The 19,280-nt window shown below is 37.9% G+C and overlaps 1 protein-coding gene and 1 pseudogene across 18 annotated transcripts in view, besides 2 other annotated features; both read right to left on the minus strand.

The window, feature by feature from the left end:
- Nucleotides 1-19,280, minus strand: part of SENP7 (SUMO specific peptidase 7) — a 189,008-nt gene that overhangs the window by 127,840 nt on the left and 41,888 nt on the right. For all 18 annotated transcript variants that reach the window (XR_007095714.1, XR_007095713.1, NM_001282803.2 and 15 more), the window contains one exon: nt 6,911-7,008. Coding sequence is in view for 16 of the 18 variants with exons in the window: in NM_001282803.2 (NP_001269732.1) it covers nt 6,911-7,008 (98 nt within the window). In the remaining 2 variants the exon portion in view is untranslated. The remainder of the gene's footprint in view (nt 1-6,910; nt 7,009-19,280) is intronic.
- BTF3P16 (basic transcription factor 3 pseudogene 16) lies at nt 4,941-5,802 on the minus strand (annotated as a pseudogene).
- Nucleotides 14,504-15,051: an enhancer, noted in NCBI's record as "H3K27ac-H3K4me1 hESC enhancer chr3:101185392-101185939 (GRCh37/hg19 assembly coordinates)". NCBI's record gives its function as "activates a minimal SCP1, AML or CMV promoter by ChIP-STARR-seq in naive H9 embryonic stem cells {active_cell/tissue: H9 hESC(naive)}" and the evidence as "EXISTENCE:reporter gene assay evidence [ECO:0000049][PMID:30033119]".
- Nucleotides 15,052-15,598: an enhancer, noted in NCBI's record as "H3K27ac-H3K4me1 hESC enhancer chr3:101185940-101186486 (GRCh37/hg19 assembly coordinates)". NCBI's record gives its function as "activates a minimal SCP1, AML or CMV promoter by ChIP-STARR-seq in naive H9 embryonic stem cells {active_cell/tissue: H9 hESC(naive)}" and the evidence as "EXISTENCE:reporter gene assay evidence [ECO:0000049][PMID:30033119]".

Here is a 19,280-nt window from a genome sequence, read left to right on the forward strand (position 1 = left end):
TCACAAGCATTCTTATACACCAATAACAGACAAACAGAGAGCCAAATCATGAGTGAACTCCCATTCACAATTGCTTCAAAGAGAATAAAATACCTAGGAATCCAACTTACAAGGGATGTGAAGGACCTCTTCAAGGAGAACTACAAACCACTGCTCAATGAAATAAAAGAGGACACAAACAAATGGAAGAACATTCCATGCTCATGGGTAGGAAGAATCAATATCATGAAAATGGCCATACTGCCCAAGGTAATTTATAGATTCAATGGCATCCCCATCAAGCTACCAATGACTTTCTTTACAGAATTGGAAAAAACTACTTTAAAGTTCATATGGAACCAAAAAAGAGCCCACATTGCCAAGACAATCCTAAGCCAAAAGAACAAAGCTGGAGGCATCATGCTACCTGACTTCAAACTATACTACAAGGCTACAGTAACCAAAACAGCATGGTACTGGTACCAAAACAGAGATATAGACCAACGGAACAGAACAGAGCCCTCACAAATAATGCCGCATAACTACAACCATCTCATCTTTGACAAACCTAACAAAAACAAGAAATGGGGAAAGCATTCCCTATTTAATAAATGGTGCTGGGAAAACTGGCTAGCCATATGTAGAAAGCTGAAACTGGATCCCTTCCTTACACCTTACACAAAAATTAATTCAAGATGGATTAAAGACTTACATGTTAGACCTAAAACCATAAAAACCCTAGAAGAAAACCTAGGCAATATCATTCAGGACATAGGCATGGGCAAGGACTTCATGTCGAAAACACCAAAAGCAATGGCAACAAAAGCCAAAATTGACAAATGGGATCTACTTAAACTAAAGAGCTTCTTTACAGCAAAAGAAACTACCATCAGAGTGAACAGGCAACCTACAGAATGGGAGAAAATTTTTGCAACCTACTCATCTGACAGAGGGCTAATATCCAGAATCTACAATAAACTCAAACAAATTTATAAGAAAAAAACAAACAACCCCATCAAAAAGTGGGTGAAGGATATGAACAGACACTTCTCAAAAGAAGACATTTATGCAGCCAAAAGACACATGAAAAAATGCTCATCATCAATGGCCATCAGAGAAATGCAAATCAAAACCACAATGAGATACCATCTCACACCAGTTAGAATGGCAATCATTAAAAAGTCAGGAAACAACAGGTGCTGGAGAGAATGTGGAGAAACTGGAATACTTTTACACTGTTGGTGGGACTGTAAACTAGTTCAACCATTGTGGAAGTCAGTGTGGCGATTCCTCAGGGATCTAGAACAAGAAATACCATTTGACCCAGCCATCCCACTACTGGGTATATACCCAAAGGATTATAAATCATGCTGCAATAAAGACACGTGCACACCTATGTTTATTGCAGCACTATTCACAATAGCAAAGACTTGGAACCAACCCAAATGTCCAACAATGGTAGACTGGATGAAGAAAATGTGGCACATATACACCATGGAATACTATGCAGCCATAAAAAATGATGAGTTCATGTCCTTTGTAGGGACATGGATGAAGCTGGAAACCATCATTCTCAGTAAACTATCGCAAGGACAAAAAACTAAACACCGCATGTTCTCACTCATAGGTGGGAATTGAACAATGAGAACACATGGACACAGGAAGGGGAACATCACACACCGGGGCCTGTTGTGGGGTGGGGGCAGGGGGGAGGAATAGCATTAGGAGATATACCTAATGTTAAATGATGAGTTAATGGGTGCAGCACACCAACATGGCACATGTATACATATGTAACTAACCTGCACGTTGTGCACATGTACCCTAAAACTTAAAGTATAATTTAAAAAATTAAAAAAAAAAAACAAATGACCAATTAGCACATGAAAAGATAATCAACATCATTTAGTTATTAGGAAATGGCAAACAAAACCACAATGAGATACCACTTCACACTCACTAGGATGGAAAGATGGAAGGAAAGAAAAGAAAGAGAGAGGAAAGAAGAACGGAAGGAGATAAGCACTGGTGAGGATGTAGAAAAACATGAATCCTTCATACATTGCTGGTGGGAATGCAAAATCGTACAGTCATTTTGAAAAAAAGTTCAGCAGTTGCTCAGAAAGTTAAACAATATTAATGCATGACACAGCAATTCTAATCCTAGTTATCTATTCAAGATAAATGAAAACATATGTATGTCTAAGAATGGGCACAGTGGCTCACGCCTGTAATCCCAGCAATTTGGGAGGCCAAGGTGGGTAGATCACTTGAGCTCAGGAGTTCAAGACCAGCCTGGGCAACATAACAAAACCTCAAATATACAAAAAACAGAATAATTGGCCAAGCATGGTGGTGCGTGCCTGTAGTCCCAACTACTTGGTGGGCTGAGGCGGGAGGATCGCTTGAGCCTGGGAGATGGAGGCTGCAGTGAGCTGTTTTCCACCACTACACTCCAGCCTGGGCAACAAAGTGAGACTCCATCTCAAAAGAAAAAAAGAAAAAGAAAAAAGAAAACATATGTCTACACAAACACTTGCAAACACTTGTATAGGAATGTTTATGACAATATTATTCATAATAGCTAAGAAGTGGAAACAACATAAAAATCCAACTGGTGAATAAACACAATGTGGTATAAAAAGAAATGAAATACTGATATATGCTACAATATTAATAAACCTCAAAAACATTATGCTCAGTGAAAGCCAGATGAAAAAGATCAAACATATTGTATGATTCTGTCTATATGAAATGTCCAAAAAATCAAATCTTATAGAGACAGAAAGTAGGTTAGTGGTTGCTTACAGCTGTAGGTGAGAATGGAAAGTGGTTGTAAATGAGTAGTTTCTTTTGGAGCATGATGGGATGTTCTAAAACCATCACCAGACTGTAGTGATGGCTCACAATTCTGTAAATATACTAAAAATTATTTAATTATTGAATTAAAATGGGTGAATTTTATGATATGTAAATTATATCACAATAAAACTTAATTTTTAAAAAAGCACTAAAAAGTATTACAATCTTTAAAGTAAGATCAAACACAGGAGATAGAGTCAGCAGTTCCAAAGTAATACAAACATATGGAAACTTTCCCCCTCCCCAGGTGTATTTTTGTTGTTTGATTTCCCTTAGCACAGCAGCGATTTATAAAATGTTTCAGATAGCCCAGGAGAATTCAATGTTATTAAAACAAAAATTTAAGTCTGTTAATACTGAACTAGGTTTCCTAGAGATGCATTAACAACATTCCTCTCCATTATAGTAAGAAGGCCTAAATTTCCTCAACTATGAGATAAGGCCAATGCTACTTACATCTCACAGACTTATGAAAATTAAATAAGACAGTTTAGGCTTAGCCTAATGCCTAACATATAATAAGTATTTAATAGATATTAGCTGCCGTAATTATAAATAGAGGGTTTTCAGTTCCAAACTGATATTGCTCATGTACTCTTATGACTGATATGCCAAATAATTAGTGGAGTAGGAAGAACAGCATAATTTGATTTAAAAAAAAATACGCTACAAGAGAACTAAATCTGTAGATACAAATTATGTAAGCTCATTGATAGTGAAAATGAGATCAAGCGAGGAATAAAGAATCCCATTAAAAGAGAAAAACCAAACTGGTTCTCTTCTAAAAATAATCTGCCCAAGAGAATTTTACAAAATTCTTGTGCTGTGAAGCAAATACATCATAATTTCTCATTCCTGTTGTTTTGAACCAAGTCACTTCCTAATTCTGCCTGCTAACTTAACTGTCATAATCCAGTTTCATCTAAATAACTCATCATGTTCTATCCCACCTTAGTTTCCAGATATTCTAGATATCCTAACCATCCCATTTCACCTACCTTTTAGAAGTAGAACATTCAGAAAAAGGTTAAGAATCAAAAGCTCCAGAACTTTCAGTAGAGAAAAACTAAAGTATAGACAAGATGCCTGCTCCTAGCTTAAGACAACTAGGATTTGGAAATGACTCAGGTCCTTTCTACCATACAACAGAGATACTTTTTTAAATTCCACTTTTTAATATTCATACACATTCCCCGGAAATATTTTATGAACATTTTAACATTGTGAATTTGAACTAATTATGTATTAATACAGATAATTAGTTATATATATAAAAGACATATATATGTGTCTTTGGTACAAAATTTTGAAATGATACAAAGCCCTCTAGATTTTAAAAATCTGTCAAAAATCACATTCTATTATTCAAAAATTGGCTGAGTAAACTATAAAACTAATTAATTACACTATTGCCTGTTGGCTACATCACTTTTATCAGTTTAAAAAATACATCATTTTCCTTTGTCAGGATCACGTCAACCACATTGTTCTTTATTAAGAAGATGGTGATTTGGGTCATTATTGTATTTTTAATTCAATTTCTACTGCTATTGAATTTTAAAATCTTTTTATCCCCTAACAATATCATTAAGTGTATATTAAATAGATGTTATAATGTTAATGCTGTGACCATGCCTGAAAATCACTAACTCTGGAACAGAAGTCAGATGTCGTAAATTCTATAAGGAAGGCCAAACAATTATCTTTTTATGCTAGGCTGATAATTTAGCAGAAAATAAACTGAAAAAAATATTAGAGATAATGCCAGAAAACTAAAAAACAAAATTAAAATAATAATATGTAACAAAATTATTGATTGTTATCCCAAAGAACCTGTGCCCACCACTTTACAAGCATTCTTATGGAAAAGTGAGATTTAAATAATATAAGTATTTTTTAAATTTTACTTTTATTAGTTTTTTGTAGAGATGGTGTTTCGCCATGTTGCCTAAGCCGTACTTGAACTCCTGCACTCAAGTGATCCACCTGCCTTGGTCTCCCAAAGTGCTGGGACTACAGGTGTGAGCCACTGCGCCTGGCCTTAATGATATAAGCTTTTTGTTTTGTTTTGTTTTGTTTTGTTTTGTTTTGTTTTGTTTTACTAGGCAAAGAACTTTATTAACCTTTGTTTCAAAGTTTATTCTCAGGCTTCTTCGGCTTTATTAGCTGCAAAGAATGAATTGTGTATAAGCAAAACCTGAAAAGAGCTGCAGTGTCCAAAGGGCTTGGGCTTAAAAATATTAGAGATCTAGATTTTATCAGATCCATAAACAAAAATTCTTAAAAAGTAGTCATAATATAAAATAGCAGCTCCCAGTAACTTCTTCAAGTTTTATCTTCAGAAGTTGACTCAATTCAGTTTGCCTCATTCTTGGAAGCCTCATCAAAATTCTCCACAAGATCAGGAACTTCATCATCATCATCCTCCCCAGTAGCAAGTGGTGCTTTTCCATCCATGGATTGTTTGGGCAAAGCTTCAGCCAGTCTGCTTAAACTGTTCAGACTGTCTACACCAAGCTGGTTTAAGATGTTGGGTAGCATTTCTGTCAGCTGCTTTGTCTCGGCATGGCCTGTAATGGTGAAAGTGTTTGCTGCCAGAGATGCCTGAACTTTAGGGTTGTTAAAGTGGATCACTGTTCCTTGGTTTGTAAACATATGCACCTCTTCAATACCAAAGATATTGTTTACCCCTAACTTCTTTAAGGAGAACTGAAGTTTTTTATCATCTGCTGTGGCTGTTCTATGAACCACCTTCTTCCTTCTACGAGCAGTTCCTTTCCCACCAATGCACACTTGTGCCTGCAGTTTGGCAAGTTTTTCCTGATTCATGATTGTTTCTTTCATCCTATCAGAGCAGATAAGGGGCCATGCAGAGAACTAGGGTTGGTGCTAAGAGGGTCCTGGGTGGACCAGCTGAGATTAGGCGCACACATGCGGAGATGCAAGACGGCAGCTAAAGGGGAATGATGTATGTTGTGAAGCATGCAAAGTCTTCAGGATATGTCTCCCATAAGATAAAACAACTTTGTATGTGCAAACCTTTCCGAAAATGTGGCTTGGTTTTTATTAATTAAAAATTACCATTCCTTTACTTCTAGCATTCCATCTCTCAAACCAAGTATAATTATTTATGTAAATCTTTTTGGGAAACCAAGTCTGAAAACTGAGTGTGTGCTTGTTCTAAGGATGAAAGCATCATCATTGCATCAATAGACCTGCCTTATTCACCTTGACAATTTATCCATGGTATGGTAATAATGTCAAAAGGCTCATAAACTGCTATGGAGTCACCAATATATGTTTATATTTCCTACACACAATTTACCTGAAAAGGGAGAATTAGACTAAGTAGTTTATAGAAGTACTTTGACATAAATTCAAGGACCCCAATGAGTCTTCTAAATTTGTGTGACTTTCCAATAATTATAATTTGCTATTGTCATTTTTTCATTCACTATGTTAAAAAGAAAATTCAATACTCTTTTTAAAATAACTTTCTAATAATTGATTTATGTCCAATTCTGAAATGCTCTAAATTATTTCCAGTAACAACTGTAATTTGAATCCTCCAGATATTTAATTCCCCTATACAAATAATTTAACACTATGACTATAGGACCATAGTTGCTAAACAGAGCATTTTTGGCTGGCCCAAGTACAGAGGTGTTTACAACCAGTTGATTACAAGTTGCAGATGTCTGTTTCTGCCCCACTCCCACTGCTTCATTTGACTAGCCTTTAAAAAATAAAAAAGAAGAAGCAGCAGAAATGGAACACCCTTTCTCACTGCTGATCGCAAACAATGATTCAATCATCATTATCAGTCTATGTATAACTCTTGCATTATCAGCGAAAGCTTATCAAGATGTTCCAAATGCACAAAAACAAGGGAGTTAAGATACTTAAAATCACAGAAAGTTAGAGACTGAAAGAATCTTAGAGTCCACTGAATTCAAACCTTCTATTTTAAACATGTGGTCATAATTGAGAACCAACAAGCTTAAATGAATCATTTATGGTCAACTTTATAGGTTAAGCCCATACTATGTCGCACACACACATATCTTACCTTTCTGGTGATGACTTGGAAGTAACAGGACACCCTCGGATATGTTTTTTATTTTTATGGTCTAGAGAGATGACTTTATTCCTTAGGCTTCTTTCCCACTAGGAAAAAAAAAATGAAATTTTAATAATAAACATATCAATATGACAAGAGGCATTTAAACTGTTCTTTTTTATTTGGAAATTTGTTATAAACGATCAAATACATAGTTCACAGAGAAAAATAATAAGTGCAATCTATGGAATATCTGGCTCTTTTACTAATGCATAAATGTAAGTCCACCAAAAAATACTAGGAAGACATTTTAAAGTACCAAGGTAACTTTAATCAAAAAATCAACACTTTGAGATTCCAAAGCTTAAACAGCTATTAAAATCTGGAATGTACTTAAAGGAATAAAAATTATTACATAGAAGGTTAAATAGGGCCTATGATTCTAAAGTAACTGTACTTATAACAATTGAAAGATATTAAAATTAGTTACCTAGGAACTGCCATGTGGAAAATTTTAGGAAAGAGCCGGACACCTTATTGACAGAGTTTAGATTAAATATGACTAGAATAAAAGGTTCAAATTAATTTATTTAATACACAGTGTTAGCCTAGGCAAATAAGTCATTTATATTCTCTATGCCTTAGTTTCTTTATCTGAAAAGGGATATAGTAACAGTAGCTACCTCACAAAGATATACAATGATTACATCTGTATTAAGTTTTGGTTTTACTTCCACATCACAGAACAGACATTTGTAGTAAATTTACAAGACTGTCTTCATAAAAGAGATATTTGTACAATCATGTTTGTAGTCCACGATTCGCAATAACCAAAAGAGGGAAGAATCCACCAAAAAGAAAATGTTAAGGTTGCTCGACTAATTCAGAAAACTTGCAGGATATAAGATCGAAAGGCCAAAATCAGTTGTATTTCTATTTAATAGCAATGAGAAATCTGAAAGAGAAATTAAGAAAAAAAATTCCACTTACAATAGCATATCAAAAAGAATAAAATACTCAATAATAAATTTAGTCAAGGCAATGTAAGACTTTTCTGCTGAAAATATCAAAACATGCTGTAAGAAATTAAAGAAACCCTAAATAAATGAAAAGACATCCCCTAATCAAGGACTGAAAGACTTTATTAACTATATCAACTATTTTGGTTAGCAGTTGGGCATTACTCCCCAAAATGACCTCCAGATTCCATTCACTCCCTACCAAAATTCCAACAGCCTGTTTTGCAGAAATGGACAAACTGATCTGATGATTAATTGCTAGAGGCTCAGAAGAACCAAAACAATCTTGAAGAAGGAGAGCAAAATTAGAGGACTCACATTTCAGTTTCAAAATTTACTATGAAGCTAGAGTAATCAAAATAATGTTGGCAACGGGTAAACATACAGATTTATGGGACAGAATTGAAAGTCTAGAAATAAACCCATATATCTAGGACCAATAATTGATTTTCAGCAAGGATGCCAAAACCATTCATGAGAGAAAAATAAACTTTCAACAAATAGTTCTAGAACAACTGAACCGCCACATGCAAAAGCAGGAACTTGCACACTTGCTTCACATCATATTCAAAAATGAATTCAAATGGAGAGAAGACCTAAACATTATACAAGAGCTAAAATTATGAAACTCTTAGAAAAAAAAACACAGCAGTACATTTTCATGACTTGTATTTGGCAATGACTTCACAGATATGACCAAAAAACCACAAGTAACAAGAGAAAAATGATAAAGTGGACATCAGCAAAATTTGAAACTTTTATTCATTACTGGAATAGTGAAAAGGCAACCAACCCACCAAATGGGAGGAAATATTTGCAAATAATATAACTGATAAAAGTATAGTATCCAGGTCAACCACAATGGCTCACACCTGTAATCCCAGCACTCTGGAAGGCCAAGGCAGGAGGATTGCTTGAGGCCAAGAGTTTCAGGTCAGCCTGGGCAACATAGTAAGACCCCATCTCTTAAAAGAAAAAAAGGTATAGTATTCAAAATTTAAAAAAAAAAACTCTTACAATTCAGTAAGATAAAGACAAAAATAGTTTTTAATGGGCAAAGAATGTGAATAGATATTTCTCCAAAAAACTACACAAATGACAAAAAGCACATTAGAAGACACTCAGTGTCATTAGTCATTAGGAAATGCAAATCCAAACCAAAGAAGTGAAAGATCTCCACAATGAAAACCATAAAACATTGATGAAAGAAACTGGAGAATGTCAAAATAATGGAAAGATAACTCCACGGTCATGGTTTGAATCAATATTGTTTATCTCCTTCAAGAACAAAAAAAGAAAAATGAAAAAAGAATCAATGTTGTTAAAATGTCCACACCAAATGAAGAAATCTATAGATTCACCAAAATCCCTATAAAAATATCAATAACATTCTTCCCAGAAGAAGGAAAAATACCCCTAAAATTTATATGGAAACACAAAAAAATGCAAGTCAAAACCACAGTGACATACCATTTCGTACCCACTAGGATGAAGAATGAAGGAAGAGAGGAGAAGGAAAACGAAGTAAAAGAGCAAGAGAGAAAAAAAATTAAGTGTTGCTGAGTATATGAAGAACATGGAACCTTCATACATTGCTAGTGGGAATGTAAATGGTACAGGTACCGTAAGAAAAAAAAAAACAGTATTGCAGTTCCTCGATAACTTAAACATAAAATTACCACATGACACAGCAATTCTCACCCTAAGTATAAAACAAAAGAATGGAAAACAGGTTTTCGAACAGATGCTTGTAGTTCATAGAAGCATTATTCAATAACAGAAAAAAAGGTGAAAACAATACAAACAGATGAACAGATAAACAAATGTGATATATCCATACAATGGAATATTATTAGACCATAAAAAGAACTAAACTACTACCACATACTATAACATGGATGAACTTTGAAAGCATTTGTGCTAAGTGAAAGAAGCCATAGACACAAAAGATCATATATTGAGTGATTCTGTTTTTGTGAAATATCTAGAACAGGAAAATCCAGGCAACAGAAAACAAAGTAGTAATTTCCAGGGGCTGGGAAGTTGGCAGAATAGAGAGATAAATTAAGAAGTGAATGCTTAATGGTTAAAGAGTTTCCATTTGGGGTAATGAAAAAGTTCTGAAACTAGACAGAGAAAGTGGTTGCACAACACTGTGAGTGAACTAAATGCCACTAAATTGAATGCCATAAAACGGCTAACATGGTAAATTTTGTGTTGTATGTATTTTGTCACAACAATAGCAAAAAAGCATATGACTAAATCTCCAGTAAGAAATACAGCATTAAGAAACCACTAAGAATACAGTGGCTCACACCTGTAATCCCAGCACTTGGAGAGGCTGAGGCTGGCAGATCACCTCAGGTCATGAGTTTGAGACCAGCCTGACCAACATGGAGAAACCCCGTCTCTACTAAAAATACAAAATTAGCCAGGCGTGGTGGCACATGCCTATAATCCCAGCTACTCGGGAGGCTGAGGCAGAAGAATCACTTGAACCCAGGAGGTGGAGGCTGGGGTGAGCCGAGATCGCGCCATTACACTCCAGCCTGGGCAACAAGAGTGAAACTCTGTCTCAAAAAAAAAAAAGAAAGAAAGAAAAGAAACACTAAGAATAAAGAGACCAGGTGCAGTGGCTCACATCTGTAATCCCAGCACTTTGGGAGGCCAAGGTGGATGGATCGCTAGAGGCCAGGAGTTCGAGACCAGCCTGGGCAACACGATGAAACCCTGTCTCTACTAAAAATACAAAAATTAGCTGGGCGTGGTGGTGCATGCCTGTAGTCCCAGCTACTGGGGAGGCTGAGGCATGAGAATCGCTGGAACCCAGGAGGCAGAGGTTGCAGTGAGCCGAGATCATGCCACTGCACTCCAGTCTGGGCAAAAGAGCGAGACTCTGTCTAAAAAAAAAAAGAAGAAACCACTAAGAATAAAGGAAAAGACTGATAAACTACATTCATCAAAATCAAATATTTCTGCTCATCAAAAGACATACAATTAAGAAATAAAACAGCTACAGATTGAAAGTATTTGCAATACACATACTGACAACAGACTCATATCCTTATTATACAAAGAATTTCTACACATCAATAACAAAGACTAAAAACTCAGACTTGAGCCAGGTACAGTGGCTTATGCCTGTAATCCCAACACTTTGGGAGGCTGAGGCAGGAAGATCACTTGACGTCAGAAGTTTGAGACCAGTCTGATAAATACAGTGAGACCCTATGTCTACAATAAAGGTCGTGGCACATGTCTGTAGTCCCAGCTACTCAGAAGGCTGAGGCAGGAGGATCACTTGAGCCTAGGAGTTTGAGGCTGCAGTGAGCTATAATCGTACCACTGCAGTCAGGCCTCGGTGACACAGCAAAACCATGTATCATAAATAAATAAATAAATATATATATATATATATATATATATATATATACATATATATATATATATATACACACACATATAAAATAAAAACTCAGATTTAAAAAATGAGCAAGAATTCTACTTGAAATAAAATGGAATAAGAATAATCTTCTCTGCTTCTCCCACTGAGTGCAACTAAGAATTCTAGACAGACTTCATGGAGAAGCTATCTTAGGACCCTGAAGAGTATATGCTAAGAATGACATTGGTGAACTCAAAGTAATACCAAACCTGCAATCTAACCAAGACCCAGAGACCTGCAACTTAATATTCAAAATGTCCAGGATATAATCCAAAAACTGCTTGGCATATAAAAAGCCTAGGAAATCTCAACAACTCACAAAAGATGAGTATCAAGAGCAGCCAAGTAGAAGAAGACAGAGATGTTGAAATTACCAGAAAAAAACTTCATTTATTTATTTACGTATTTATTCATTCATTTATTTATTTATTTGAGATGGAGTTTTACTCTTGTTGCCCAGCCTGGAGTGCAGTGGCGCGATCTCGGCTCACTGCAACCTCCGCCTCCCAGGTTCAAGCACTTCTCCTGCCTCAGCCTCCCAAGTAGTTGGGATTACAGGCACCCACTACCATGCCCAGCTAATTTTTTGTATTTTTAGTAGAGACTGGGTTTCACCATGTTGGCCAGGCTGGTCTCCAACTCATGACTTCAGGTGATCCAGCCACTCAGCCTCCAAAAGTGCTGGAATTACAGGTGTGAGCCACCACACCCAGCCAGGAAAAAGCTTTAAAGTGGCTATTATACTGTTCTCTGAGAGGATGAACTCTCTGAAAGAAGTAAAAAGACAGAAAATCTCAACAGAGGAACAAAATTAAAAAAGAAACAAATGGCAATTTGAGAACTACAAAGTAACATGACCAAATTTTAAAAAGCACTGAATGGCCTAAAGCAGGAGTCCCTAACCCCAGGCCATGGACTGGTATTGGTCCATGGCCTGTTAGGAACCAGGCCGCACAGCAGGAGGTGAGCGGCAAGTGAGCAACTGAAACTTCACCTGTATTTACAGCCACTCCCCATTACTCACATTACCACCTGAGCTCCACCACCTGTCAGGTCAGTGGCAGCATTAGATTCTCAAAGCACAAACCCTATTATGAACTGTGCATATGAGTGATACTGGTTGCATGCTCCTTATGAGAATCTAATGACTGATGATCTGTTACTGTCTCCCATCACCTCCAGATGGGATCATCTAGTTGCAGGAAATCAAGCTCAGGTCTCCCACTGATTCTACATTATGGTAAGTTGTATATTTATTTAATTATATACTACAATGTAATAATAACAGAAATAAAGTGCACAATAAATGTAACATGCTTGAATCATTCCAAAACCATCCCACCTGCCCCACTACCTGGATCCATAGAAAAATTGTCTTCCATGAAACCTGATGCCAAAAAGGTTGGGGACCGCTGGCCTAAAAAGCAGAAAGGAGACTAAAAAGGGGTAAGTGGATCTGGAAATAGATAGACCAATAGAAATATTCAATCTGAAGAACAGAAAGGAAACAGATGCTTATGTAAATTTAATGTTATGCTTTATTTAAAAAAGAATGAAAATACATTATAACAAAAAACTTAAAGTGGCCCACCCACCACTACTGGCACCCACACATGTCATCCGGAGAAACAAAAATCAATCCACATTCCTCAATGTCACCAATGTACATCATCAGGGTTCCTAGGGAACAACCTACCCACCTACTGCTACCAAGACCCACACACACCATTAGGGGGGTGGAGGGGGCATGAAGGGAGACCCACTCTGCCCACCATCAGCACCTGTGCACATCATCCTCCAGAGGCCTAGGGATCAATCCACCCCCCTCACCCCCGCCACTGGCTCAGACACATGCCTTCCAAAAACCTGAGGACAAGCCAACTCCACCTATAGCTGCCACTGCCATTGCCTACACAAATCATTTAGAGGTCTGGGGATTGGCTCAACACACCCAGCCATACTGGCATCCACACACACCACTCAGGCAACTAATGACAAGTCCACCTAGCCCACTGCCATTACTACTGGTGCTTAAGGAACAGCCCACCTGGAGTCCTCATGCTCAGCAAAGCCTCACCATGGCTGCCATTAACAAAAGCAGTCTGCATCACTTAGGAACTGTGACACTGCTGACATGAGTTACAATCCAAAAAATCATAAAAGATTACATGACTGTGTCTATGTAAAAATCAGACAAACCACTTCACAGAACCAGCACTATAAATATATCTATAGGAAAAAGTTTTTCCCTACCAATGTTAATGGTAAATTGGAAGAAAACAGCTGTTGAAATAAACACAGACACTAACAAAAAGACATGAGAAACATGAAAAAGCAAGGAAACAAGACACCTCCAAAGAAACAAAATAATTTTCCAATAAGAGACCCATAAGAAAAGGAAATGTATGGAATGCTGGAAAAAAAATCAAAATTCTGATACAAAAGAAACTAAGTGAGATATTTTTTAAAAAGTAAATAATCCAAAAAATTATGAAAACAATTTATGATCTCGATTAGAAATTCAACAAAGATTGATATCATTTAAAACGTCCTACAACTGAAGATTTCAATGAAATATAAAATACAGTTGAGAGCCTCAACAATAGACAAAATTAAGCAGAAGAATTTCTGAACTTGAAAACAGATTTTTAAAAAAATAACCCATTCAGACATAACAGTAAAAAACAACTTTAAAAAATGAAGAAAGCCTACATAACATATGAGATGCCATAAAGCGACCAAATATTCAAATTATGGGAGTTTCAGAAGAAAGAGAAATGGAAGAAAACATTTGAAAAAAATAATAGCTGAAAACTTCCCAAGTCTTGCAAAAGACAAAAACATGAAGATACAGGAGTACAAAATTCCTCAAATAGATTCAATCCATAAAAGGCTTCTACAAGGTATATCATAGTCAAACTGTGAAAAGTCAAAGACACAATTCTAAAAATAGCAAGAAAAATATCAAATCACACATAAGAAAATCCCCATAAGATTAAAAACAAATTTCTCAGCAGAAACCTTACAGGCATATGATGATATATTACAAGTGCTGAAAATAAAATGTCAGTCAATAATACCAGATCCACAAACCTATCCTTCAAAAATGAAGGACAAATAACATCTTTCCCAGACAAGCAAAAGCTAAGGGAATTTATCACACTACACTACAAAAATGCTTAATAGAGTCTTAAAACTCTCAAAGAAACACACAAAAGTATAAAACTCAATAGTAGAGCAGACACACAAATAAGACAGAGAATGGAGTCACATGTTATCACTACAAAAAGCCACAAAATCGGGCATTCCAAGATGGCTAAATAGGAACAGCTCCAGTCTGCGGCTCCCAGCATGATTGACGCAGAAGATGGGTGATTTCTGCATTTCCAACTTCGGTACCTGGTTCATCTCACTGGGACTGGCTGGACAGTAGGTGCAGCTCACAGAGGGCAAGCTGAAGCAGGGCGGGGAGTCGCCTCACCCGGGAAGTGCAAGGAGTCAGGGGACTTCCCTTTCCTAGCCAAGGGAAGCTGTGACAGGCTACGTGGAAAAATGGGACAGTCCCGCCCAAATACTGCACTTTTCCCAAGGTCTTAGCAACCAGCAGACAAGGTGATTCTCTCCCCGTGCCTGGCTCGGCAGGTCCCACGCCCACAAAGCCTTGCTCACTGCTAGCACAGCACTCTGAGATCAAACTGCAAGACGGCAGCCTGGCTGGGGGAGGGGCATCCGCCATTGCTGAGGCTTGAGTAGGTAAACAAAGTGGCCGGGCAGCTAGAACAGGGCAGAGCCCACCACAGTTCAACAAGGCCTACTGCCTCTAGACTCCACCTCTGCGGGCAGGGCATGGCTGAACAAAAGGCAGCAGACAACTTCTGCAGATGTAAACGTCCCTGTCTGACAGCTCTGAAGAGAGCAGTGGTTCTCCCAGCACAGCGTTTGAGCTTTGAGAACAGACAGACTGCCTCCTCAAGTGGGTCAATGACCCCAGTGTAGCCTAACTGGGAGACGCCTCCCATTAGGGGATGACAGACACCTCATATAGGTGGCTGCCCCTCTGGGACGAAGCTTCCAGAGGAAGGATCAGGCAGCAATATTTGCTCTTCTGCAATATTTGCTGTTCTGCAGCCTCCATTGGTGATACCCAGGCAAACTGGGCCTGGAGTGGACCTCCAGCAAACTCCAACAGACCTGCAGCTGAGGGACCTGACTGTTAGAAGGAAAACTAACAAACAGAGAGGAATAGCATCAACATCAACAAAAAGGTCATCTACACCAAAACCTCATCTGTAGGTCACCAACATCAAAGACCAAAGGTAGATAAAACCACAAAGGGGGAGAAACTAGAGCAGAAAAGCTGAAAATTCTAAAAATCGGAGCACCTCGTCTCCTCCAAAGGATCACAGCTCCTCACCAGCAACGGAACAAAGCTGGATGGAGAATGACTTTAACGAGCTGACAGAAATAGGCTTCAGAAGATCAGTAATAACAAACTATTCCAAGCTAAAGAAGGATGTTTGAACCCATCGCAAGGAAGCTAAAAACCTTGAAAAAACATTAGACAAATGGCTAACTAGAATAAAGAGTGTAGAGAAGATTTTAAATGACCTCATGGAGGTGAAAACCATGGCACGAGAGCTTCGTGACACATGCACAAGCTTCGATAGACAATTCAGTCAAGTGGAAGAAAGGGTATCAGTGATTGAAGATCAGATTAATGAAATAAAGCAAGAAGACAAGGTTAGAGAAAAAAGAGTAAAAAGAAACAAACAAAGCCTCCAAGAAATATGGGACTATGTGAAAAGACCAAATCTACATTTGATTGCTGTACCTGAAAGTGATGGAGAGAATGTAACCAAGTTGGAAAACACTCCTCAGGATATTATCCAGGAGAACTTCCCCAACTTAGCAAGGCAGGCCAACATTCAAATTCAGGAAATACAGAGAACACCACAAAGATACTCTGTGAGAAGAGCAACCCCAAGACGCATAATTGTCAGATTCACCAAGGCTGAAATGAAGGGAAAAGTGTTAAGGGCAGCCAGAGAGAAAGGTCGAGTTACTCACAAAGGGAAGCCCATCAAACTAATGGTGGATCTCTCGGAAGAAACCCTATAAGCCAGAAGAGAGTGGGGGCCAATATTCAACATTCTTAAAGAAAAGAATTTTCAATCCAGAATTTAATATCCAGCCAAACTAAGCTTCATAAGTGAAGGAGACATAAAATCCTTTACAGACAAGCAAATGCTGAGAGATTTCGTCACTACCAGGCCTGCCTTACAAGAGCTCCTGAAGGAAGCACTAAACATGGAAAGAAACAACCGGTACCAACCACTGCAAAAACATGCCAAATTGTAAACACCACCAGTGCTATGAAGAAACTGCATAAATTAACGGGCAAAATAACCAGCGAACATCATAATGACAGGATCAAATTCACACTAACAATATTAACCTTAAATGTAAATGGGCTAAATACCCCAATTAAAAGACACAGACTGGCAAATTGGATAGAGTCACTGATGGGAAGACCCATTAGTGTGCTGTATTCAGGAGACCCATCTCACATGCAAAGACGCACTTAGGCTCAAAATAAAGGGATGGAGGAAGATCTACCAAGCAAATGGAAAGCAAAAAAAAAGCAGGGGTTGCAATCCTAGTCTCTGATAAACAGACTTTAAACCAACAAAGATCAAGAGACAAAGAAGGCCATTACATAATGGTAAAGGGATCAATTCAACAAGAAGAGCTAACTATCCTAAATATATACACACCCAATAAAGGAGCACCCAGATTCATAAAGCAAGTCCTTAGAGAATACAGGAGCACCCAGATTCATAAAGCAAGTCCTTAGAGACCTACAAAGAGACTTACACCCCCACACAACAATAATGAGAGACTTTAACACACCACTGTCAATATTACACAGATAAACGAGACAGATGGTTAATAAGGATATCCAGGACTTGAACTCAGCTCTGCAACAAACAGACCTAATAGACATCTACAGAACTTTCCACCCCAAATCAACAGAATATACATTCTTCTCAGCACCACATCACACTTATTCTAAAATTGACCACATAATTCGAAGTAAAGCACTCCTCAGCAAATGTAAAAGAACAGATATCACGGCCGGGCGCGATGGCTCACGCCTGTAATCCCAGCACTTTGGGAGGCCGAGGCGGGTGGATCATGAGGTCAGGAGATCGAGACCATCCTGGCTAACAAGGTGAAACCCCGTCTCTACTAAAAATACAAAAAATTAGCCGGGCGCGGTGGCGGGCGCCTGTAGTCCCAGCTACTCGGGAGGCTGAGGCAGGAGAATGGCGTGAACCTGGGAAGCGGAGCTTGCAGTGAGCCGAGATTGCGCCACTGCAGTCCGTAGTCCGGCCTGGGCGACAGAGCAAGACTCCGTCTCAAAAAAAAAAAAAAAAAAAAAAGAACAGAAATCACAACAAACTGTCTCTCAGACCACAGTGCAATCAAATTAGATGTCAGAATTAAGAAACTCATTCAAAACCACACAACTACATGGAAAGTGAACAACTTGCTCCTGAATGACTACTATGTAAGTAACAAAATGAAGGCAGAAATAAAGATGTTCTTTGAAACCAATGAGAACAAAGACACAACATACAAGAATCTCTGGGACATATTTAAAGCAGTGTGTAGAGGGAAATTTATAGCACTAAATGTCCACAAGAGAAAGCAGGAAAGATCTAAAATCGACACACTAACATCACAATTAAAAGAACTACAGAAGGAAGAGCAAACAAATTCAAAAGCTAGCAGAAGGCAAGAAATAACTAAGATCAGAGCAGAACTGAAGGAGATAGAGACACAAGGAGATTCGGCAAACCGAATCCAGCAGCACATCAAAAAGCGTATCCACCACAATCAAGTCGGCTTCATCCCTGGCATGCAAAGCTGGTTCAACATATGCAAATCAATAAACGTAATGCATCACGTAAACAGAAACAATGACAAAAACCACGATTATCTCAATAGATGCAGAAAAGGCCTTTGACAAAATTAAAAACCTTCATGCCAAAAACTCTCAATAAACGAGGTATCAATGGAACGTATCTCAAAATAATAAGAGCTATCTATGACAGACCCACAGCCAATATCATACTGAATAGGCAAAAACTGGAAGCATTCCCTTTGAAAACGGGCACAAGACAGGCATGCCCTCTCTCACCACTCCTATTCAACATAGTATTGGAAGTTCTGGCCAGGGCAATCGGGCAAGAGAAAGAAATAAAGAGTATTCAATTAGGAAATGAGGAAGTCAAATTGTCCCTGTTTGCAGATGACATGATTCTGTATTTAGAAAACCCCATTGTCTCAGCCCAAAATCTCCTTAAGCTGAGAAGCAACTTCAGCAAAGTCTCAGGATACAAAATAAATGTGCAAAAATCACAAGCATTCTTATACACCCTTAACAGACAAACAAAGAGCCAAATCATGAGTGAACTCCCATTCACAATTGCTTCAAAGAGAATAAAATACCTAGGAATCCAACTTACAAGGGATGTGAAGGACCTCTTCAAGGAGAACTACAAACCACTGCTCAATGAAATAAAAGAGGACACAAACAAATGGAAGAATATTCCATGCTCATGGATAGGGAGAATCAATAGCATGAAAATGGCCATACTGCTCAAAGTAATTTATAGATTCAATGCCATCCCCATCAAGCTACCAATGACTTTCTTCACAGAATTGGAAAAAACTACTTTAAAGTTCATACGGAACCAAAAAAGAGCCCACATTGCCAAGACAATCCTAAGCAAAAAGAACAAAGCTGGAGGCATCACACTACCTGACTTCAAACTATACTACAAGGCTACAGTAACCAAAACAGCATGGTACTGGTACCAAAACAGAGATATAGACCAATGGAACAGAA

Source organism: Homo sapiens, chromosome 3 (assembly GCF_000001405.40).
Source record: "Homo sapiens chromosome 3, GRCh38.p14 Primary Assembly".
NCBI lineage: Eukaryota > Metazoa > Chordata > Mammalia > Primates > Hominidae > Homo > Homo sapiens.